The 26,430-nt window shown below is 36.7% G+C and overlaps 1 annotated feature.

The window, feature by feature from the left end:
* Positions 11,686-12,233: an enhancer, noted in NCBI's record as "OCT4-NANOG hESC enhancer chr8:107986595-107987142 (GRCh37/hg19 assembly coordinates)". NCBI's record gives its function as "activates a minimal SCP1, AML or CMV promoter by ChIP-STARR-seq in primed H9 embryonic stem cells {active_cell/tissue: H9 hESC(primed)}" and the evidence as "EXISTENCE:reporter gene assay evidence [ECO:0000049][PMID:30033119]".

Genomic DNA, 26,430 nt, shown 5'->3' on the forward strand with positions numbered 1-26,430 from the left:
TATATCTCCTAATGCTATCCCTCCCCACTCCCCCCACCCCACAACAGGCCCTGGTGTGTGATGCTCCCCTTCCTGTGTCCAAGTGTTCTCGTTGTTCAGTTCCCACCTGTGAGTGAGAACATGCGGTGTTTGGGTTTTTGTCCTTGTGATAGTTTGCTGAGAATGATGGTTTCCAGCTTCATCCATGTCCCTACAAAGGAAATGAACTCATCCTTTTTTATGGCTGCATAGTATTCCATGGTGTATATGTGCCACATTTTCTTAATCCAGTCTATCATTGTTGGACATTTGGGTTGGTTCCAAGTCTTTGCTATTGTGAATAGTGCTGCAGTAAACATACGTGTGCATGTGTCTTTATAGCAGCATGATTTATAATCCTTTGGGTATATACCCAGTAATTGGATGGCTGGGTCAAATGGTATTTCTAGTTCTAGATCCCTGAGGAATCGCCACACTGTCTTCCACAATGGTTGAACTAGTTTACAGTCCCACCAACAGTGTAAAAGTGTTCCTACTTCTCCACATCCTCTCCAGCACCTGTTGTTTCCTGACTTTTTAATGATTGCCATTCTAACTGGTGTGAGATGGTATCTCATTGTGGTTTTGATTTGCATTTCTCTGATGGCCAGTGATGATGAGCATTTTTTCACGTGTCTGTTGGCTGCAAAAATGTCTTCTTTTCAGAAGTGTCTGTTCATATCCTTTGCCCACTGGTTGATGGGGTTGTTTTTTCTTGTAAATTTGTTTGAGTTCATTGTAGATTCTGGATATTAGCCCTTTGTCAGATGAGTAGGTTGCAAAAATGTTCTCCCATTCTGTAGGTTGCCTGTTCACTCTGATGGTGGTTTCTTTTGCTGTGCAGAAGCTCTTTAGTTTAATTAGATCCCATTTGTCAATTTTGGCTTGTGTTGCCATTGCTTTTGGTGTTTTAGACATGAAGTCCTTGCCCATGCCTATGTCCTGAATGGTATTGCCTAGGTTTTCTTCTAGGGTTTTTATGGTTTTAGGTCTAACATTTAAGTCTTTAATCCATCTTGAATTAATTTTTGTATAAGGTGTAAGGAAAGGATCCAGTTTCAGCTTTCTACATATGGCTAGCCAGTTTTCCCAGCACCATTTATTAAATAGGGAATCCTTTCCCCATTTCTTGTTTTTCTCAGGTTTGTGAAAGATCAGATAGTTGTGTATGTGTGGTATTATTTCTGAGGGCTCTGTTCTGTTCCATTGGTCTATATCTCTGTTTTGGTACCAGTACCATGCTGTTTTGGTTACGGTAGCCTTGTAGTATAGTTTGAAGTCAGGTAGTGTGATGCCTCCAGCTTTCTTCTTTTGGCTTAGGATTGACTTGGCAATGCAGGCTCTTTTTTGTTTCCATATGAACTTTAAAGTAGTTTTTTCCAATTTTGTGAAGCAAGTCATTGGTAGCTTGATGGGGATGGCATTGAATCTATAAATTACCTTGGGCAGTATGGTCATTTTCATGATATTGATTCTTCCTATCCATGAGCATGGAATGTTCTTCCATTTGTTTGTGTCCTCTTTTATTTCATTGAGCAGTGGTTTGTAGTTCTCCTTGAAGAGGTCCTTCACATCCCTTGTAAGCTGGATTCCTAGGTATTTTATTCTCTTTGAAGCAATTGTGAATGGGAGGTCACTCATGATTTGGCTCTTTGTTTGTCTGCTATTGGTGTATAAGAATGCTTGTGATTTTTGCACACTGATTTTGTATCCTGAGACTTTGCTGAAGTTGCTTATCAGCTTAAGGAGATTTTGGGCTGAGACAAGGGGTTTTCTAGATATACAATCATGTCATCTGCAAACAGGGACACTTTGACTTCCTCTTTTCCTAACTGAATAACCTTTATTTCTTTCTCCTGCCTGATTGCCCTGGCCAGAACTTCCAACACTATGTTGAATTGGAGTGGTGAGAGAGGGCATCCCTGTCTTGTGCCAGTTTTCAAAGGGCATGCTTCCAGTTTTTGCCCATTCAGTATGATATTGGCTGTGGGTTTGTCATAAATAGCTCTTATTATTTTGAGATACGTCCCATCAATACCTAATTTATTGAGAGGTTTTAGCATGAAGCGCTGTTGAATTTTGTCAAAGGCCTTTTCTGCATCTATTGACATAATCATGTGGTTTTTGTCATTGGTTCTGTTTATATGCTGGATTACATTTATTGAGTTGCGTATGTTGAACAAGGCTTGCATCCCAGGATGAAGCCCACTTGATCATGGTGGATAAGCTTTTTGATGTGCTGCTAGATTCGGTTTTGCCAGTATTTTATTGAGTATTTTTGCATCGATGTTCATCAGGGATATTGGTCTAAAATTCTCTTGTTTTGTTGTGTCTCTGCCAGGCTTTGGTATCAGGATGATGCTGGCCTCATAAAATGAGTTAGGGAGGATTCCCTCTTTTTCTACTGATTGGAATAGTTTCAGAAGGAATGGTACCAGCTCCTCCTTGTACCTCTGGTAGAATTCAGCTGTGAATCCATCTGGTCCTGGACTTTTTTTAGTTGGTTAGCTATTAATTATTGCCTCAATTTCAGAGCCTGTTGTTGCTCTATTCAGAGATTCAACTTCTTCCTGATTTAGTCTTGGGAGGGGGTATGTGTCAAGGAATTTATCCATTTCTTCTAGATTTTCTAGTTTATTTCCATAGAGGTGTTTATAGTATTCTCTGATGGTAGTTTGTATTTCTGTAGGATTGGTGGTGATCTCCGCTTTATCATTTTTTATTGCATCTACTTGATTCTTCTCTCTTTTCTTCAAATTTCATTTTCATAGTAATGATATTGGTATCAGATTATCACTGTATTTTTTCCTTGGGTTCTTTGCAGATGATAGAAACATTTTCTGCTTTCAAATTGGCCATGTGCCTCTTTGGAGCAAATGTTCCTTGAGGATAGACAGTTATTGATAAACCCACATAGAGTCACTTACAGTAACCCTAGAACAGATTGAGTGTCTAGGAGCTCAGTGAGAGCAGACAGAAAGTGAGATAGGAGTGGGGAGAACTAGACTCCTGACGCCTGCAAAAGTAATTTGGGAGGAAGTGAATTCTTCTCTTTCTGGTAACACTAGGGAAGATTCAAGGTAGTGATAGTGTAAATAGGAAAAACATACAACTAAAGCAGTCTGGGATTATTAGCATCTGATGAAGTTATAATAAAGAGTTTTCTACAGAGACATCCTTGTACACTGTACCATCCTCACACCATAATTTGATTGGCAAAAGGGCAGATTGTCAGCTTTTATGCAAACTACTTGATAGTATTTTATGTTCATATTAGTTTGATGCATGATGTCCTCAGCTGTGTTTCATATATTCCCAGGATATATATTGTGAATACATAGTCAAGTCTTATTGTGTTGCTTTGCTCACAGTTGCAGGAAATTTCCCCAATATTGTGCAAAATGTTGCACAAGTTGCAAGAATAGCATATGGCAAGTTAGAAAAGGCTCATGACATGCTTTCCACAGAAATTTTTGTAAGAAGGTACTGACGTACACCTCACACCAAGTACTACTGCTGCTCTTTCATGGTTAGCCCTTTACAGGCTCCCATAGAACCTCTTCTACATACACTTATGCAGTGCCTGGAGATGGTGTCTATTTTGTTCACCACTGTATCTCCAGTGTTCTGAATGGTACTTAGTACATAGCAGACTTACAATAAATACTGTTGAAGGAAAGTGATATTCAGAGGTCTTAAGTATCTGGTTCATAAGTATATAGCTCAAGCTAGTAAGCTTCAAAACAAAAACTCCAGTCCAGATCTATATGGCTTCAAATTCATTCTTCTATTATGTTTACTCATCTATAATATAATTTATTGAATGAATCCTTCTTTACTATTTTTAGCAAAACAATTTATGAAGTATATCAAGCAATAAACAAAAGCTCTGATTAAGCATTATTATGTAATAACCAATACATATACATAATTTATGAGATTTTAGAAAGCATAATAACAACACTGGTGAACCCACTGTTGAGGTTAAAAACAGGAACGTTATCAACATCATTGAGTTATGTGCATATTCTTTCAAAATTCCATTCCTTTACCACCTTTCCAGAAGTAACTGATGTATTTATTATTCTTTCTTTCTACAATAAATTTACCAAATACGTAGCAATCCCTACATAAAGGCAGTTTCTAAAACAAGTAACAGTTCAAAATTGATAACATGTAATAATTAGGTACATACTATAGGTCATTTCATATATTATGCAATTTTATTCAACTTTTTTCACTCAACATTGTTTATTGTGTCACCAGTAGCTATAATATATTCATTTTCACAATTCTGTAATATTATGTGACTATGCTATAATCAATACGTTTTTTCTGTAAATTGACTTTTGTTACCTGATTTTTTTCTATTTCTATTGCTATTATTGACAACAGTTATTATTGACAATTATAAAATTCTGGTATATATCTTTTGGGTCTCACATGCAAATTTCTCTAGGTTTTGTTTCTAGGAGTAAAATTGCTGGGTTATAGATAAGTTAGTGTTTAGATGTATAAGATGAACGTTTTTCAAATAAGATGTTTCCAATTATGCTTATACTATAGAGCTGTATATCTTTTTCATCAATCTACTTCTTACCAACAATATATATCAATTTTTAATTTTAGTATAATGCAAAAAAAAGATATCTTATTGTGATCCTACTTTGTACTTCTTTGATTACTGAAGAGGCTGGGTCATTAGTACTTTCTCTGATCTGAAATGCCGGTTTGGCCACTTACTAGTTTTTTGAGGGGAGAGAGGAAGTTGTTATTTTATTCTCAATGTGGAAGAGTTCATTATACTTAATGAATACTAATTATTTGTTGACTATAAAAGTTACAAATAGTTTGTAACTTTATATTATGGTGTCTTTAGATAAGCAGAAGTTCTTCCTATTAATCTAGGTGAGCTTAGCATTGTTTAAAAATTTATAGTTAATATTTTCTCTATTCTGAGTTCACAAAGATTATTTTCTATATTTTGCTCTCAAAGTTTTAAAATATTCCCTTTTGCCTTAAATTTTTGATCTACCTGGAATTGATGCCTGTATATGCCTATATATAATATTGTTTATTATATAAACAAATAATACCTGCATTTTTTAATATTATTAGCTTACTTCCTTTCTCCAGATATCGTAATATCATCTTTGCCATATATCAGGTTCTGTTATGTATAGATCTGTTTCTGGGTTCTCTATTTTACTGGGAATTCTGTCCTAGTGTCTGATAGGTTTTTGCTTATTAATTGACACTGTATTCATTGACATAGCTTTATAATAAAACTTGGTATCTGGTAGCACAATTTTGTTTTCCTATCCTTCTTCAATACTTTACCCATTACTGAGCCTTTGCCTTTTCAAATAAATTTTAGAATTAGCTTCTCAAGTTTCTCAAAAACCTTATTAGAAAAAAATTAAATCTATAGTTCATTTTGAGGAGAAATTTAAGGAGACATTTTTATGATATTGAGTTTATGATATTGGAAACAAATTAAATCTGTAGTTCAATTTAAGGTGACATTTTTATGATATTGAGTTATCCCATCCCATGAACATGGCATATTTCCCTTTTCATATTTATGTCTTTTAAAAACAGCTTTCAAAAAATTTTGTCTTTCTTCCTTAGTTTCTTACAGATCCTCTTAAAATATCTATTTCATTTTACTTACATATTTTTGCTATTACAAAGAATTCTAAAATGTTTTCTAGTTTTATAGTTGTTGTATAGTAACACAATAAAATTTGCATATTGTTATAGTCAGACACCTTGCTAAATACTCATTAATTCTCATATTTTGTTGGTAGATGGGGTTTCTATATAAGCAATCAAATCACCTTTTAATAGTGACAGCCTGGTTTCTTTCCATATTTATAGTATTTTCTTCTCTTACAAACTGGATGGGATCTTCAGCATAATGTTGAATAGAGGTAGTGATTTGGGGTATCCATCTTTTTCTTTTTCATGATAATAAATTGAATGCCCCCATTACATCATTAGTATTTGCTATGGGTTCTTTTTCTCCTTGTAAATGCTTCTTAGCAGATAAGGAAAACTGTCTTCTATTCCTGTTTTATTAAGCATTTAGTTTAGTTTTGTTGGAAAAGGGTGTTGGATTATAGAAAATGTTTTTTCTGCATCTGTTGAGACGACTATATTTTTTCTCATTTAACCTGGAAATATAGTGGTTTACACTTACAACATTTTAATGTTAAGCCACCTTTGATTATTGGAGTAAACACAACCTCTTCATGATATATTCTCTAACACTTGACTACATTTGGATACCTAATAATTTCTTATCTTTTAAAAGGTTGACAAAATTTTATACATTTCTCATGTACATGATGGCTTCAAAATTTAGACACTGTGGAATAGCAAAATTGAGCTAATTTACAAATACATTACCTCACATACTTATTTTTCATGGTGAGAACACTGAAAACCTATTCTCTTAGCAATTTTCAAGATTATAATACATTGTTGTTAATTATAGTCACCATATTGTACAATAGATCTCTGAACCTTGGTCATCCACGCTGATATTTTGTATTTTGATCAATATTTTCCCAACCTCCTTCCCACCCCCAGTCTCTGCTAACTACCATTCTTACACTCTACTTCTATGAATTCAACATTTTTAGAGTCTACAGATAAGTGAGATCATGGGGGTATTTGTCGGTCTGTGTCTGGCTTATTTCACTGAACATAATGTCCATGTTGTCAAAAATGGTAGGATTTTGTTTTTAAGGCTGAATATCCCATTGCATATTCCATTGTGTATATAAACCACATTTTCTTTATTCATTCATCCACTGAAAGACACTGAAGTCAATTCCATATCCTGGCTATTGCAAATTATGCCACAATAAACATGGCAGTGTGGATATCTCTTTGACAAATATTTTATTTCATTTTTTTGTTATATGCATATTCAGTAGTGGGATGGCTGCTGAATTACTAATATTTTCTCATACATGTGAATGCGATTGGCTTTTCTTTTACTAGATTTGCATGATTTTTGTATTTGAGGTAAAACTAGACTCAAAGAAACGGTTTTTTTTTCCTAATTTCTGATGAATTTTGTAAATTATTGAAACGTGGCAGATTGTGCTTTCCGAAAATGGCCACAGCAATTTTTCAGTCCCACAACATCTACCAGAACCTTTCCACTCCTTTTAGGAGGTGAGGTCTATTTTCCTTTCCCTTAAAAGGTGAGGGAACTTTGTGACTGAGTCAACAAGCAGAGTGAGGCAGATGTGATGTGTCATGACTTCTAGGGCTAAGTGATGAAACGTCAAGTGCCCTGCCCTAGGAATGCTCTTGGGATGCTCACTTGGGAAAAAGCCACCATGTTGAGAGGTCCAAGTCACATGGGGTGGTTGCATGTAGGTGTTCTGGCTGACAGACCCAGTCAAGGTTTCAGACAGTTGCCTGCACCAACCCCAGATGTGTGAACGATTGAACTTTGATTGGATTCCAGCCTCCAGCCTTTGAGCTGCTCCAGTTGATGTGAGTGGAACAGAGAAGAATGAGTTCCATTAATCCCTGCTCACACTAAAGGACCATGAACAACATAAATGTTAATTCAGTAAGTTTTGGAGTGGTTTGCCACTCAGCACTAGATAGCATATAGTTTGGCAAATTTTATTTGTTAAAATTTGGGTTTTAGTCACATTCATTTGGTTTCATTGCTACAAAAACTTTCCCATTTTGTCCCAGTTTTCAAATTTGTATTATAAAATTGTTCATAGTATTACATACTTAGATTAATTAAACCTCTTATAGTGAACCAAAAAACAAATTATTAAAATCATGACAGATATTTTTATTCATCACTAGCAATTTCAGTCTATTTACATTTTATTGTGTGCAAATATATTCGAAATTGTTTTCACCACCTTTGTGCTTTCTATTTGTTTCACTTTCATTTATTTTTTTTTCTACTTTGGGTTTATTTTTTCCTTATTTGATTTTTCCACACCTTACTTCTCTATTTTTATTCCTTAGTGATTATTATAAACATTTTACCAGGCATATTTAGTGATTTAAAAGTCTTAAAGAGAGCCAGTATCTTAACTAAAGAACACAGGGACCCTAGAACCATCTACTTCTGACTAACACATTCCAAATTACAAGTGTATATTTAGTGCAGCATTGTATAATATAAACTCTTGTGATAATAGAAGTGTCCTATATCTGTTTTATCCAAAACATTAGCCTCTATTGGTATATGGCTATTGATTACAAGAAATGTGGCCAGTGTGACTCAGGAACTAAATTTTTAACTTAATTGTATTTAAATTTAAATAGCAACTTGTGGCTAGTAGATTCTGTATTGGACAGTGTCAGTGTAGTATTTTTGTTGTCCCTATGAACTCAGAATTTACTCATTTTATTATGTATTATTTTACATTATTTCTTTTCAGATTAATTTACATATTTCACAATTTCTTGGATCAACAGTTCTTGCATTTTAGAACTTGTTACAATCTTTCCTTCTTTAAATATATCTTTTAGAATGTACGTTAGTAAAGATTTGCTGGTGGTAAACTCAGTTTTTAATTTTGGACATGTGTTTGACAATGTCCTAGAAAAATAATTTTTATAACACAATTCTAGGTTGATAGTATTTCTCTCAGTATTTTGAATATATTACTCTATGAACTCTGGTTTCCATTGAAGCTATTGAGAAATCTGCTGTTAGAGTAGATCATCCTCCTTTTAGGCACTCTGGTTTTTTCTGTGGCTCTCTTTCAGATACTTTATCTTTGGTGCTCTGAAATTTTACTATGTTTTACTTGTGGATTTTTCTTTGCTTGATCCTCTTGGTATATATTGTGCATTTTCTATTGTAGATGTGTGCCTATCCAAAAAGTCAAGGAATTCTCAGCTTAAGTCTCTGTCTTCCCAATATTGCCTCTTTTCCATTCTCTTATTTTTTAGAGTACAATTACATATATGTTTGACCTTCTCATTTTTATTCTGTTTTCAATAGCTCTTTTTATATTTTCATGTCCTTGTCTCTCAATGCTGCAAGTTCTACAGCTCTTACTTCTAGTTCATTGTCTTTTCACCGTTAATATGTTATTTAATTTAAATAACGGAATTAAATTAAATTAAAACTGAGCTTTTAATTTCAATAAATCTATTTTTTCTAAAATTTCTACTTCATCTTTCTATAATCAGTTTGCTTAGTCATTTTTAATAATTTCTTGTTCCTCACTGACTTTTACTATTTAAAAAATTTCCTAGATATTTTATAATGTGATCATTTTCTATTTACCATCAGCTAATTCCAATGTCTCCAATATTTGATAGTTTTTTTGTGTGGTTTCTGCTGATTCTCACTCATGGTGGCCTATTTTATTTATGGTTGGGTAAATTAAAAAAAATTGTGAGCTTATTTTTTAACTACACATAATCTTTGAGAACAGAAGCCCTAATGTGTAGAGTAGCTTTCTGCCATATAAAGTGACTATAGATCTGTGTTCCTTTGGCTCCAGTAAAAGTAAATGTACATCTTAACTTTTGTGGAGGATCCTGCCTTCATGCTAGGCATCCTGACCTTAAAGAATGGCCGAGCCATCTCCTGAGCCAGGGACTGTTCTTAGAATCAGGGAACCTTGGCTTTTGTGTTTGCTTACTGGCATAATTCAGGGTATAGCTCCCTGTTTCTTTTCTTCTTTCTCCACTTTCTCCTTCCCATATATTTTCTTTGTCTTCATCTTTGGTGATTTCTACAGGTTTTTTTTAACCCCAACACTGCTTTAAGAAATAAGTTTGTTGTAGTTATGCGGGATCAAATTGCATTGCCATCCATGGGCCATTAGAAACATCTATCTCATAATTCTAACAGCAGAAGTCAGCCCGTCATTATAACTGACAGCCTTCTTCTAGTGCCCTGAAGCATCTCTGGATTGGTGTAAGGTGTTTATTATGGAGTCTCCAGCTCTGGAATTACATTGATTCACTTTATTTTCCTTGCCTGCCAGATTTGTTCAGGCTTCATGAAAATCCAATTATGTTATCAGATATATCATTAAACTAATTATTTTAATAAAATATGCACAAAAATACTAAATTATGTGAAAAGTAGATATAGCTTTTACATTTATAGTCTTCCTTGAGAAAATGTTTTACAACATACTTGTATGTATATTTTCTCTTTTCCAAATTCATATTATTTAAGATCACAGGGAAAGGAAATGTGGAAAAAAATACTGAATTTGGGGTCAGAAAATAGTCTGTAATCTCAGCTTAGACATTAAGCATATTATTTTCAACAATATAATGAGCCTGTTTTCTCATCTGTATAATGGAGATAATTTCTATTTTGTACAGTCACTATGAGATTTAAATCAATTAAACAAGATCATACATGTGGAATTACCCATTACGGTGTCCAGCACATAGTAGATACTTGCACAGGATTAATTTTTCTTTCCTTCTCATGACATCCATGAGTTTATGTGACTAGATGTATTATTTCTGAAAATATATCTTGAATTTTTTAATGATCTTTATTTACTTCTAGGATAACCTATCAGCTTTATTTCTGTACTAAGAGTTAATTTTTAAAAATAGGACAGAGTGTAACTCCTACCTATACAAATTAAGTCACCTTCAAGATATGGAAAGTTAGATCTGATTGTAGTTAAAAATGTGAACAATGCTTGTGTAACTTTAGTTAGTCAACATCTGGAACTGATCTAGAAAACTTTGATTAACAGAACCAGCATGATGAATCCCAGATGTTTCAGCAAGGCTGTGTTTCCTAGGCTCACTGGATCGTGAAAGTGAGTACATTCAAGGAAGGGAAACATTTAAAAGAACTAGGTGTCAAAATGGCTGAGGGGATATTTGAATATTGGTTCACTTGTTGGGGAGAGGTGGTCTCTTTAAATGAACATCTCCTTTCAGGTTTTATCTATGTTAAGACAAAAATCTGATTTTTGATTTCCTCAATAATATATCTTGAAACTTCACTTACATTTATAGTTGCCAAACAGATTTTTGAACATCTACTTATATGCAAGTTCATGCAGTTGGAAAGACAAATAATAGTCCCTGCCTTTGATGATTCAGTTTAGCAAGGGAGATAGTCATGTGAACAATAACTACAATCAATTATAACTGCTGGAATGAAAGGCTGAGCACAGAAAGTATCAGGTCTTCAAAAGAAGATGGGAAGGTTTCATGGAGTAGGAGACACAGGGCTCAAGATCTCCATCTGAAGTGGCATTCAGCTGTGCTCTTATAATACAGCAACTTCCACAGTATGGTAAGTTCCATAGATCACTGGACAATTTGTCATGCCACAAAACTATATTTAGAACAGCAACTTCTGAAATGAAAAACTAAAGTATTTTGACAATCCAGTGTCACAATGGTGAAATCTTGATTAGTAACCTTATGGCCTTGCCATCCTTTGGTAAAGCTCCTAGAAAAACAATAAATATTTTAGTATTTCCCACAAATTGTGCTTTCCACTAAAGGAATGCATTCACCTTTTGCAACCTTTTTCTTGCTCTCATGAATGCCTGATGCTGTGGACAGGAAAAAAATCAGAAATGTTCTGAGTTCAAAATTACTTTAGAAGCCTTTGGGGGAAAACACATACCTTTTTTGTTTTGTGTTTGTTTGTTTGTGTTTATGTTTTGTGACCTACTTTAGTTTTCATAAAATCTGCTCCATTTTTCCCCCAAGGAAATCTACTCTGAGTGAAAAGAAACAAAACCTATACCCTAAGGAGAGGAGCCCAAATGCCCTATTGACAGCAATTTTGAAAAGAATTAAATTTATTATTAATAGCATGGATAACAGAAAATATAAGGCTGATTATTACACAAACGGTTTTCAGTGAAAACTAATGGGCCATCAGGCTCAAATGTGCTTATCTCCTTTCTTTATCCAGCCATGAGCAGCACTTTATCCCTTTTGTTTTCAACAAAGGAGGTTTACTGCCTCCTTCTCTATCATCCAGTGCTAAACTGCCCCTAAACTCCTATCAATCCTTTACCTGAAATAACAGATATGCTTGTCCCCACGTTCAGAGATTCTTTAACCAGCAGATAAGGGCTATTGTCTGGGACAATTTCCTGAGATTCCAGCCCTTCTTATCCAATCAATGCCTACTTGTCTTTCAAAATTTGGGGTTTAGATATTTCCTCTGAAAGAACTCCCCCAGTCCTTCCAGGCTCATTAAGATCCACGTGCTACCTACATCCCTATGATTCTGTCACATGACCCTCATCACACCTGTAATTACATGTGTAGGGAAGTTCAAACATTTCCTCTGAAGATCTGAGATTTCAGTTTGTTGAAATAAACTGGCAATAGACAGATTCACAGGAGAAAAGGCATCACAAATTTATTTGATCATAGTTTTACATGACATGGGAGGCTTCAGACTGACGACCCCAAAGACCCAGGGTGAACTATCCATTTTTATGCTTAGGTAGATGAAGCATGGCCAGCCATGTAGAAAGATGATTAAACAAAAAGGGTGTGATCTAATAGTAATAGACTGAGGGGCGGGAAACCCAGCAAGCCCTGCCTGTTTGGATTCTTCTCCCTGCAGCATTCCTTCCTTCTGAGTATGGGGCAGGGCCCTCTTTGGAATGGGGGTCTTATGACCTACAATCAAACAAGGGAGGCCAGAGAATTTCTTTATGGCCAATTCTCACACAGAAAGGTGGGGGAAAGTTGGAGTCACATTTTTAGGTTTTATGTCTGGCTTTGGGGAAAACGGGTTCTGGTTTTTATGGCTCACCATGGGGAAGAGGAATTATAGTTTCTATGGCTAGCCTCTGTGGAGAATGGGGGGTGAGAGACAGGAGGACAAAGATAGAAACTTTGCTTTCGAGGCTGCCGCTTTGGAGTATCATTTTCTGAGCCCCAGTACATGCTCAGTGTTCATCTTCCTCACCTGATTGTAAGTTCCAGGACAGCCAGACCTTTTTGTGTCTGTATTCACCGCTGTATTTCTAGATCATTGTGTTCACTCACTAAACACTTGTTGAAAAGAATACAAATATTCTTAATACTGTACCAGTTTAATCCCTCATAATGTCTTGCTGGATCAGTCTAAAAGGTATTTCTTTAAAGCCTTCTGCATACTATTCTCTGTCTGGGGTGATGTTCCCACAAATGATTACTTCCTGACCTTCAGGTTTCAGCTGAAACCTCATCTCTTCATGGAGATCTTCTGTCACTTAGGTGGGTAATTTTCAGTTACTTTACCTTATTTGTTTTCTTCATAGAGCTCATCAAGATTTATAGTTATATATTAAATTTTTCTTTACTTATTTAGTGGCTACGCTGAGGGAAGGGCTGTGTCACTAGGGCCCAGCCAGGAAGATGCTTTTTGTTTTTTTAGTTTTCCCCAAATAAATAGAAGTTGCATGTGTAAATGTTTGGTGAATGCCTATCTAAATATATTGTCAGTTTCAGGCTTATGGGCTGTGGTTTTGCATCATGATTATTCTAGTATCAAGCGTGGTTCTTTACACATATTAGGAGCTGAAATTTTTATTAAATGAAGGAATGCATAAACAATGTCTTAGAATTATCTAAATCATAGGACTTTTGCAATATCTTATATAAAACTTGCCATTTATACTTATTAGCAACAAATCCAAGTGAGATGAGTTGCAAATCTAAGAAAAGAAAACACCAATTACCAAAATGTATCTATATAACTTTTATTCAGTGAGTATTAACACCTGGTGTGCAAGGTGCTATTGAACCTCTGTGAATAAGACAGATCATCTACTACAGTGGTTTTATTATTGTAACTGGGGTGGGTCTTCTCTCTATATTTCAGGAGTGTTACTATGAACATAGGATAAGATGATTGACACTCGTTTCCTCATCTATTAAGAATAGTAGCAAATCCAAAATCATCCTTTTTCCAGAGGTCCCCTAGGGCTACATACTCAGAGCCAGACTCCCAGTGCTGCCCTTGGGGAATGGGAAAGTGCCTCAGAGAGGAAATTCTGATGTGCAGAGCCTGCGGTCCCCAGGAGTGCTAAGGCCCATCCTATTCTGAAGCTCCTGGGCAGAGTCATCAGGTACTCGGGAGCTTGGGAGCTTAGGGGCTGAACTGGGTCTTCTGTTGAAGACATGGTCAGGTGCATGGTGGGGGTGGGGGTGATGCCTCTTTAAAGAAGTTCTGTCACTTCCCTGGCTACAGGACAGTATCAGAGTGTGGGTCAGGATTGAGGTGCACATCTACTCTGCCAACTCCCAGGCTCAGAGCCAACAGTCCCAGTCCTGAGGCTGCTCTGATTTTAAACTAAAAAATAGGAAAGGCTTAGTTCTGCTTTTTTTTCCCCCCACCAAGGACAGTGGGGCCACCTAGTCACACCAATCTTTGTTAAGTAAAATGATTTTTTAGTGATTCCAAGTAGTTTTCTCTCTGGAAAATATGAGTGATGAGTTGGCGTTTCCAGAGTGACTGCAGGATTCCCACCCCAGTCACCCACCCAGCCTCTTCCAAAGAAGGTAGGACTCATTGTTTCCTTATTCTTTTACCCTTTTTAAAAGTATCTTTCTTGCAGAGGCAGAGAGGGGAGAAAGATTTCAAGTTTAATCTGTGTCAGGATGATCCACATATAGTAATATTAGGCAAGATGAGATGTTTGCAGATATAGCAGTCTCCCCTTCATCTGTGGTTTTAGTTACCCATGGTCAACTGTGATCAGAAAATATAAAATGGGAAGCTCCAGAAATAAACAGTTCATAAGTTTTAAATTGCACGTCATTCTGAGTACCCTGAAGAAATCTCATGCTGTCCTGCTTTGTCCCACCCAAGACATGAATTGTCTCTTTCTCCAGCGTATCCACACGGTAGATGGGACATGCCCATTGGTCATCAATATCACTGAGGCTCAGTGACCCAGGATCATCTGAAGCAGATGATGTCCTTCTGATGTAGTATCAGAACTTCAATAGCAACCTAACGCTATGGCACAAAGCCTACATCAGTCACGTCCCCACAGTTTATCATGTAGGCATTATTTCACATCCTCTCAGGAGGGGTGAGTATAATACGGTAAGATATTTTGAAAGTGGGATCCCATTCATATAACTTTTATTACAATATGTTGTTGTAATTATTTTGTTGTTATACTCTTTTTGGGTTTGTTTTGAGATAGGATCTTGCTCTGTTGCCCAGGCTGGAGTGCAGTGGTGCAATCACAGTTCTAATCACCTCTTTGGGTTACTCTTTGCTGGGTGCTCCCCTGTGTACCTGTGTGATACAAATATTAATGAACTTTTTTTTCTCTTATTAATCTGTCTTTGCCTAGTTCATTTTATAGTCCCCTAAGCTGAAGAACCTAAGATGAGTGGAGGCAGATAATTTTTTCCTTTCTTATAGTGCCATAAAATTAGTAGAAATAGAATAATAACACTTGGCATGAGTTCACAGGTGGGAGATATCACATTTGCTTGTAGGAACCAGAAAAGTTGTGGAAAAATTGGCTTTGGAACTTCACTCAGAGATCAGGACAGGGCTTGGCCATGCAGCAATATGGCAGAGAGTGGAGAGAAAGCATGGGGCATGATTGTGGTGAAAGAAATGGAAAGTTAGTGCTAGAACCAGCTCATAGATATCGTTGACTAGTCAACTAAGGAGATTTGGCTTTAGTTAGGAAAAAGAATTTTAAGCAGAGCTATGGTATGTGTGTAGAAATGATGGATTGAGGAGCATAGTTGGAAACTTAAAATATTCCCGGAGGGAAGTTAATGAGAGCTTGATTTAAAGTAGAAGCAGTGGGAAAGGAGAGGAAAAAGATGGACGGGAGTGAAGGAGGCACAGCAATGGACGTAAGGAGGGCAGAGTCAAAACAGCAGGTGGCTCCTCATGGAAAGATCAGCTGGGGGCACAGTGGACTCACCCCAGGGATTCAGATTCCTGTTCTGTCCCAGGGAACAACTGTTTAACATCTCCTGAAAAGTTCCTGAATTTTCAGAGTCAGAGTATAATTTACTCAGAGCCCATGAGCTTTCCTTCTGCCAGGTGCAATGTCTTTTGCCCAACAAACAAGAATTTCCTTTGATGCATTTATCCTTATGAATTATGTTTGTCCATTTCCATAATTAGGAAAATAATAACTCTTGACATGAAGCTGGTCTTTAGAGACTTTAAGTAGTTTTCATATACTTGTTCTCATTTTATCCTAATCAAAGCATGCCATGAGGAAGGCTTTGGTGCCCTTTTATAAGTGAGAGGCAGTGTACATTGTGTAGTTGTCATCGATATTATTGGTTAAACTAAAAAGTAGTAACAAAATGCCACCTGTGAGTAGCTGCAGCAAACTCATGAATGTGAATCCCCATGGGTACACGTGGGCAGCTGTAGTTTTAAAGAACATGAGGCAAGAACCATAAATACGTTGTTTCACAGCCCAGGTTCTATGGGCAGACTAGAAATAAACTCCTTTGCAACCAGTTAGCAGCAGCATAACCTTGGGCAAGTTACTTAGCTTTTCTGAGCTTTAGTTTCCTCATCTACATAGTGGGGTTACATGACATCATCATTCGATGAAAAAAATACTCGTGTCAGCAACAGCTCACACACTGCATTTCTGATTTGGTAAGTGCCAGGCATTCAACATTCTCTAAGTTTTGCATGCAATATCTCAGGTAATCCTTGATATGGTACCTTAGAGGAGCTCCAAGTTACCCCGAGTTACAGGTGGCGTATCTGTGTGGCTCCGCAGCAACTTCAGTCCTTGCTTTCTCAGAAGAAAGACTATGAGGAGCGTAAAGCCGACAAAGAGACTGAGGCAAGTCTCAGAGCAGGAGTGGAAATTTATTTAAAAAGGTTTTAGAGGCCGGGCGCGGTGACTCACACCTGTAATCCCAGCACTTTGGGAGGCAGGGGCGGGCAGGTCACGAGGTCAGGAGTTCAAGACCATCCTGGCTAACACGGTGAAACCCGTCTCTACTTAAAAAGAAAAAAAAATTAACCAGGCGTGGTGGCGGGCGCCTGTAGTCCCAGCTACTCGGGAGTCTGAGGCGGGAGAATGGTGTGAACCCGGGAGGCGGAGCTTGCAGTGAGTTGAGATCGCATCACTGCACTCCAGACTGGGCACAAGAGCAAGACTCCGTCTCAAAAAAAAAAAAAAAAAAAAAAAAAAGGCTTTAGAAAAGGAAAGATAGGGAGGTGCACTTGGAAGAGACACAGGCAAGCATGTGAAGGTTAAAGAGAATAAAAGAGGCATTTAACCTTGATACTGGGTCTGTTCAGGCCAGACCATGATTCTTCCCTTAGGATGGGCTTCCCGCATGCGTGATGCCTTCCTTACCCTTGGGAATTGAGCAGGCACAGTGTGTTTAGGAAGTTGTATGCATGCCTATCTGAGGCTTTTTTCCTTTTTCCTGCGGAGTGTACCGGGAAGATCGTATTTCACTATTTTGTCTCGTATGCGCACGCCCAGAAGTTTCTTCTCCTTGGCATCTACATTCAATCAATGCTTTAATGTTAATAGCTGTGGATCATCAGGGAATGGCCTCTCCCTGGATCCCTGGGTGGGCTGGCAAATTGTCATTTTTAGAGAGGCAGTGTGACAATTGTCAAACCATCACTTGGCATTCCTAACACCGAGAGAGCCTTCTCTTGCCCTGCTCATGCCTAACTACCTGTAACAAAAATAGCCCTGGAACAGATAATCGTATCATTTTATAGAGAAGAAAATTAGAGGCCTTTGGAATATTAATTTGTCTAGATTACAAAGTTAGTACATGGCAAAACTGAGATTTAAATCTGTTTTCTGATACTAGATTGAAGATTTTAACCATTATTCTATACCATCTTTGTGTATGGAAAGTACTTAACATGGTGTCTGGAATTCAGTAAATATCAAATGTATTTTACTACTACTACTACTATTATTCTCAAGTCAAATTACAACTTCAGTGGCACAATAGATGTATTCTATGAACTATTTAATGTTTTTGGACCTAAGGCTCCTCTCCAGTCTACACCAGTCTAAATGTAATTTAATGTTATGGACGTAAGATTTAAGTAAATATTGACAGAGCAGAATCAGGGTGAAACCAAGTGTTTGAAGTTTTAGTATTAAGATACAAAATGGACTTTAGAATGGATTAGAAGGTTAAGAGAGAAAGCTGATAAGGAGACCTGAAAAGAAGGAGGAAGGGAAGGGAGGACCAGAAAAAGTACATTATTTGTGTTAGTATTTTTGTCACTTTTCCCAATGAATGAAAAAGCAGTGGCTGCCATGGAGCCTATACGACAGAGAACAATGATCTCACCACTGCCAGGATGGCCTGTAAGCCAGCCATCTACCCTGCAGACTGACTGAGGGGACAGCATGAATTGCATATAAAATTCATATATGCCAATAGCTACCAGAACTGTGTGAGGCAGCCAGGACAGGACCCCTGGAGACAGAACAGCAGACATTCTTGCTTAAAAGGGCAACACGGAATGCTGCAGCATTCTTGCTAAAGGGCTATATACCACAAGGGTCTGTGGAGTGGCTCGATAGAAACAATGGACTGAAGCTGCCAGGCTGGAGAGAAACCTTGGCTTGTGAAAAGGAGAAGGCTATGGCTTCCACCAGAGGCAGGATGAAATCCTTGGCTGGAAGTTCTTCCGAGGGCTTAAACTTGATGTCAGTCAGCACAGGGTACTATGTGGGGGTGGCATCCATGAGTGCAGGAGATTTTATAGCACCTTCCTCTTGCCTCAAAGGGATTGCTAATCTGAAGAGTGCCAATGACCAGGTACTTAATGCCATCGAGGTTCAGTATCTGTGCCTTATTCTCTAATTTCTACTATGTTCAAATATCTGCATCGAACCACATTCTAAATTAAGCCAGACCTCCAAGTTGTATCTGTTTTACCTGTATCACTTGCTGATCCATCCTGAAATGTCCAGAGCACTTGGCTTTCCCAGGAAGCATCATTCTTCTGGGTCATGCTCAAGACAGTGGTACTTTTCAGACCTATCTCTGCCTGACAAAAGTAAACTTTCCTCTGCCTGACAAAAGTAAACTTTCTTAAAGAAAACTGACACCAGACAAAGATTGAACTTCATTGAATATGGTTAGTCATTCCAAAAATATAGTTGAATCCATATTTAAAGAGTTCATAATAATATATGTATACTATGCTATTTGGACATGGTTTTTTAAATGGAATTTAAATTAACCAGAAGATTATAGATATGTCTATATACAAACAAATTTGATTTGCCTGGTAAAACAAGTGTCATGTTTTGTTTCACTGAACTATCCAATAGTTTGGTTGATTTTACTGAATGAATGTGTCATTTTTGTGCTGTTTTGGCTGTAGAAGTTGTTTCATATAGGCTGTGGACACAGTGTACATTAAGCCATGTTGGTCCAAATAAGCAAAGAATGTGGTTGCTAGACTCATGGAGTTCACATTGTTTTGTGTTTTAGTCAATATTGTTCATACTTAGAACATTTAAATGTGCAGAACCCTTCACTGTAAAGCCTTTTCACATGCTGAATTTCAATGAAAAAAAAAAATGCAAGTGCTTTTTAATGATCCAGATGGGCAATCTAACAGCTAACGTTTTACAAGGGATAGCATACAACTTTGTGCCTCTTCTTCCACTTTCTTTCAATGCTACTTTCAAATACGCAATTTGTGCTGTAGAAAATACTGCAAATTTTTAGCAAGTTTTGAGTGAAAACAGAGTTATAATAGAAACCATTATGCATGCCTCTGCTGCTGAGATCAGACCTCATGTTTTTGTAGTCACCCATTGTTAATGCAGCAGGAGAGCCCTATCCTGGATTCTTTGTGTCTCCAAACTACTTTATTTCCTTTCTTCTCACCATCAGAGAATGTTTCCTTTTTCCCTATGTCTCAGAGCGCATGAGACTCTATGAGTCCTTTTGGCTCTATTTCTTGCTATTTATCTTATTACTTTTTCTGTTTAAATTCTCATATTCTTTCTGCTTCTGTATAAACAAGGCTGGATTTGCTATTAAATCAAAAGCTGAGGGAAGGATAGTTAATTATTTCTGAACACCTGTTATGTGCCCAGCAGTATAGGGCTTTGCATACTTTATTTACAATAAAATAACTATATGCACATGGTATTAAATCCACATTTAAAGTTGCAGATACTGAAGCACAGGGATTAAGCAAAATGCCTAAGATCATGCTGCCAGTATGTAGCAAAGCTCATGGAAGACATCAGGACTGTTGCCTACCAAAGTCTTTCCTCTTCTTTATTATGCTATGGTCTGTCTACCAGGTCTAGCTTATGGTGGGGTCACCTTCCCAGGCATGGGACACTCATTTTCCAGTGACAACCATGAAACTTTTACCATAGGATAGATTTCCTTGATTTTGCTCCCTTTTCTTTTGCTAGCCTGTCTGGGAACCAGAACTCTAACTGTGAACCTACTAGACTTAACACTCTTGTCTATCTTCAAAGACTCTGCTTTTTGCACCCAGTTATACTTCCTATCAGCATGATCAGTCAGTTATTACCTGCCCCTGCCCACCAAGCACCAAAGACTACAATAAAGTGCTTCAGTGGCTGAATTTCTTGGCACCAAAGACTACAATAAAGTGCTTCAGTGGCTGAATTTCTTGGAAATGATTTACCTTAAATATACCTCAGTTGCTCTTTTCTAAGCTGTTCTTCCACAGGAAGTATCAGTAAGAATACAGTTGCAAGAAACAAAAGTGGCTCCCTCCACCACAGTAAAGGGTAGGAATCACAAGGCTACAACAGTGGACTCCACAACTGCTGCTGGGCATCCCTGTGGCAGTGATTGGGCACTGGAGCACCATTTCAGAAAGACCCAATGTCTCTGGCTATGGCTGTCCACAGAAGACAGCAATGAAGTAGATCATTGCCCTCCAACCCACTTCTGTTTTCTGCATCTTGCATGAGTGGATCTCATGCGTGGAACCTGCTTGGCATCTAGAATCCTAGCTGCAAGGGAGTTTGAAATATAATTTTTTAGTTTTTCAGTATTTGCAACTCAAAAACATACTTTAGAAAGTAGAGGGAACAGAACACCGGTAAGCCAATTCTTATTTGCCAGAGGGGTATTCAGTAAACATTAGACGTGTTTTGTATTAAAATGAGGAGAATTTTAGGTAAATAGTTATAATAATGTGAATAAAACAACACTAAAACACACCAACTGGATAATTGGTGTCGTATCCTACTGGATGGGTGTTAATATTTGTGTTTTTTTGTTATAGTATTTGACAAAAAGTTTTCTTAAATTCATAAATGATCTCTTAAGTGGAGGGAATTTGTCTTAATCACCTTGACTCCATGTAGAGTGACTCAAAGTGTAGAAAGTAAGGTCTACCATCTTTATAGTATGGAGAAACTGAAAAGAATGGAAGTATATCTTGTTGAAAACTGCTAGACTTGTGTTATATCTCGGATTAAACCAAGAAACCATCAGTAGTTCAGGGAATATAAAAGTAACTCAAAGCAAGCTAATCAAGAATACAGAAGACAAATTAATATTGGAAATACCAAGTAACAACAACAAAAGGCTGAGGTTACTTATGTAAAAGTGAAAAACTTTTCTAAAGATTTCAGAAATGGTAACATTAATGACCTAATTAAAATTGGCAACATGAAAGCTAATATGTAAAGGTCTTTAAATTAGGCCCGAAGCTAAGTGCTCCTTAATCAATTTTTGCCAGAAACAAGTTATTGGAATAACAAGGACATATACCTCATAAGGGAGATTTTTTTTCTTGGAATTATTTTTAATTGGACTCTAAACTAGCCATCTCAAACAGTTTTGTTAAAAAATAAATGTATAAAGCAGAGTGCAAGAGACAAAACATTAATCTTTGAAGAAGTTAGCTTTTGAGAACTGAAATCTAAATATAATACCAACTTTTGTTATCTGTATAAGGTGAGATTCTATTTTGGTTCCTTTTTCTTGTCTACTTCCTAAGGCTAACTATTCTGATCCATTTTTTAAAAGCACTTTAAAAAATGTTTTTATTTTAATTTCTTTTTAGACATAAATGATTTAATTTTATTTCCCATAAGCCTATTTCATTAAATTTGATCCTGGAAATTTGATTTTTAAAAATATATGATGTATATGAATACAAATGCTAAGCTTGTTGTAGTTGATTTCATTTACCTTCACAAACTCGTGAAAGTGTTTCAATAGATTAATTATGCAATTATATGTCCCCATTTGAATGATACTATGTCTGAAATCAAAACAATCTGCATTCTAGACATTTAAAAATAAATGCAAAGTTATTACTATCAAAAGTAGCTGGCAGAATTGCTTATTTCCAATAGAGTTACAAGAGAAGCCTGGTTTACTTAACAGGATTCTTAGGTTATGTTCCCTAAAAGCAGAGCCTGAGACAAGGATTTAGATGCAGATTTGTTGAGGGAGTGTTCTTCAGGAAAAAAACTCTGTAAGAGAGGAAGTGAAGCAGGAGAGGGAAGGTGAATTAGAGGGGAAAGGGCAATGCCCTGTGGGTTGAGGCAGCTCCCATCAGCTGAGGACAGTTCCTGGAGAAGGGAGGGAATCATACTCATAGGAGCTGGGAGAGGGTGCACTGCCTCACAATGCAGACAGGGGTTATGGATTACATGCTATTGCAATAGACAAAAAAGACCTTCAATTGGCATAGCAGACAACAGCCATGATAGTTGCTTCCTTCTGGCTCAGTCTAACATGAACTAAATTGTCAGCAATGGCTGCAGAGTGGGTAGGTCTGGATGCTTATTTTTCTACCATGGGATTATCAAAACCATATATGGCTTGATAGGGTAGGCCTCAGAAAAAGATCAATTGGTACCTATGTTGAGCAATGAGTTATGATAAGACTAGGTTTCAAAGATGAGCTAGGACAATCAGATTTCTTAATTTGGATATTTGAAGTAGGCTATATTGGAAGCAGAAGCTGAGAAGCCATGATGACCTAATGTACAGGCTGGAGTTCTGAGGGAGGCAGATACTATGAGTTAGCAGCAACCTCGAGGTGGAAAAATGGCAAGCAGACAGCACAGAGCGAAAAGGCCAATTGTTGGAGAAACGGAGAATGGGAAACAAAGCAGAAACCTGAAGGGGAGTTGAATTACATTAGTAGAGCATTGGACCAAAGAACTACAAAGTCCTGATGGTGAAATACTTTTGTTTTTTCAAGTAGGAGGGAAGATGTCAAAGAGCATGCTCAAGAAACACTAGACTGGATTGATGTGTGATTGTTCTCTGGGGAGGGTAGATACGGTTATTTGCATGACGTAGTTTTTTCAATCACTAAAATGCATCTGGTATGCCTTAAAGTGGAATTGTTTTGTGTTGATGATAACCAGGGAATCCTGGAGGCCAGGATGCTTCTTCCAAAAGGAGAATGGTAAAGAAGGGAACTTTGAAAAAGACAGATTCAAAAGCAGAATTTTAAAGTTATAAGTAGTAGATTGTGTGATGTAAACCTATTTAATAGTGATTTTATTTTTTTATTTGCAGAAGTGTAATTTGACCATGGGGCGGAGGGAACGGTTGACATTTGGATTACACAATATTGTTTGGTAAATGCCCTGAGAGAGGTATAGAGGTGTGCAAGAATTCCAAGTGAAATCACAGGAAAGGTGCTTGCCAATCTAATTTCTACAGAAGCAAAAACCAGAGAGAGACTCACAGGATGGCCAGGGGTTGGTTTGGTGAAGAGGAGGAGAGCTCAGGTCATTGATTGGGACAATGGTGAAAAATGTTGGACTTGATTGTGTCAAGGGTCTTGCTAGCTTTGAGTCCGTGACTTTTTAATGGTGCTCTTCTTGAATGTAAGATCTTAGGAATATTAATCTCCTTTAGCAGGGGGAGAGAGAATCTTAGGAATATTAATCTCCTTTAGCAGGGGGAAAGAGAGTCTTTCCTGCCCTGGCTCAGGGTGTAGTGAGGAGAGTCATTTCTACTAGGCTATAGTGTGTCTAAACCAGTGCGTAGGGAGGGCGAGAACCCAGTTATCACAATCCATCCTGTGTCACTTGTGAGAATATCCTGTAAGTGCTATTAAACATAAAAGTTTTTAAGTTAAGAGGAGCGGTAAGCTCTCTAGAAATTGTTGTATCTTCATTAGCATTTAAATGATCAAATATTTGACCCAAGAAGCATCATGTGTACATGCCTGTGTACAAGTGTTTATTTGTGAAAACATACCCACAAACCCATTTTTATGAGGTCAAGAGAATCTTAGACACACTTGATTGTTTTTGCATTTGCTCTTTGCATTTAAGCTTTGATCAATTGATTTCCTGAATATGGCATTAAAACAGGTTTCAAGATAATGAAGACTACAAAACATATCATAAAATGAAATAATAAAACAACAAAAAAATGGGTAGATTGAGAACAATCTCATAGCATAAAGAGCCCTCATCGTATTTGGTGGTAGTATTTTTTTGTGGGCATCTAATTCTATGATTAGAGAACATTTAATATAAATTCAGCAGAAACATCTGCTGATCTCATCAGTGATTACCTAGCTATGAAATTCTTGGATTCCTCTTGAAAGCACCGTGTAAGTCTACTACAGATATTTCTTCCATCCTAGATTCTGAAGAATATCTAGGAGATAATTTCACAGTTTCTGGTGCTAACAGTGCTAAATCATAGATACTTAGAGAATTTAATTTTAAGTGGAAATTTTCGTCTGTTCTGTTGTCAAAAATGAAATACAACCACTACAAGAAAAAGTATTAATGAGATCAGTTCAAGGTCAAAACTTCAATGGAATTTTCTAAAAATCAAAACAGGGTGCCCCTAATGTGATAATATGTACTTACAAACAGAGCTTTGTGGTTTATGCCATCAACCGCTTTGCAAAATCTTGCCAATAGTTTTATTGCCATAAAAATTGGAGAGTTGATCAGTGGGTTACTTAAAGCTGTAATCTTAGCCTTTAGTGGATTTATTTAAATCTAATTTAAATGGAGTTCCTTAATATTTATTTTAACAAAAGTTTACTTAGAAATTTAAGATTGGAAAATAGTTTCAAATGAGTACTGCTGGAACTAAAAGTAGTTGGATATGTGGCGTTTTTCCAAGGTGGTCAGATTTCCCTCAAGGCCAATTTGTCATTGATGAAGCATCTGTCCAAAATCATTCATCTGTGTTTTGAGAACCTAGGATCAATCAAACTCTCTGTTTGGATAGTCAACTATTGTTTTCTGAGTAAAGATGGATGATGATAGGTGAATGTAATATTTTAGGTTTAACTTTAATGATGTCTGTTTTTTTTTCTGGAATTAGAAAAATACCAGGGTGGTATTTTGGACTTTTGCCTTATCTCACAATTAAGTGCTTATTGGAAACTCAGAAAAGAAAACAGTTGAAGGGTATTTAGAAGTCATATGAATTTCTTCATTTTGCGCTAATGGCACTTTTTAATGTGATTGTTGTTTGAATATACTGGTAATGATGGAGCTGGATATTTATGAAAATAAACACTGAAGATTAGTCTATTTTGAAACCTTTTTTGAGGCACCAAAACCATAGTGTCATTCTACTGTTGCCACATACTCTATATCACCTAGATCATCTTCCCTGTTTTAGCCACAGACATACATGAAGAATACTGTGCTAATATATGCATAAACTGAAAGTTTTAGCCTTCACCAATAAAGGATATATAACTTTAAAATGGAATCTCTAGAAAAAGATAGGTACTATAGATTAAGCTTTTTACTTAACTATTTGTTCATTTATTTACTAAACGTTACTTGAACACCTGCTCAGTTTACATTGCATTATATTTATGTGTTTAATGATCTGTCTCTTACCAGACTGTGAGAAACTTCTATTCCAGTGGCTGGATTAATGGCTAATATTTAGTAAACTTTGTATACACATGTGACAAATAAATGAATGTAAGTATTCAGAAATGATTTTTTAAAACGAAGGGAAGAGAGACACAACATTTTTAGCATGTAGTATATAGTTTGTTAGATTATTTGTTAATCAATTCAAGCATATTATCTTCTTTGTTTTATTCAATTATTACAGTAATCATTTGAGGAAGTAGGAACATAATTGAACAAGTCACTGAATCTTTGATTCTAAGTCATTGGACTGGGAAGTCAGGGCTGGGAGTTGAACTTATGTCTGTATGATCCCAGGGTTTGTGTGCTTAGATTGCAACAGTTGGCTGCCACACACAAACTCTTACCACTTTACCAGGTTAAATAAGAAAGAACTTATTTGACTACTGTTTACACTAAAAAGGAATTCTAGTAAATTTCAAAATTGATATTTTCTTTTTTTTCCAGTAGCCACTATTATGTATCCTTCTTAAAATTGAGATGGAAGAACAGTAAGGGTTGTTATTATAAAAGTTCCAATCAATTAAAAAGGATACAAAGCATACCTTTTGATAGTAAATAT

Source organism: Homo sapiens, chromosome 8, assembly GCF_000001405.40.
Source record: "Homo sapiens chromosome 8, GRCh38.p14 Primary Assembly".
NCBI classification, from domain to species: Eukaryota; Metazoa; Chordata; class Mammalia; order Primates; family Hominidae; genus Homo; species Homo sapiens.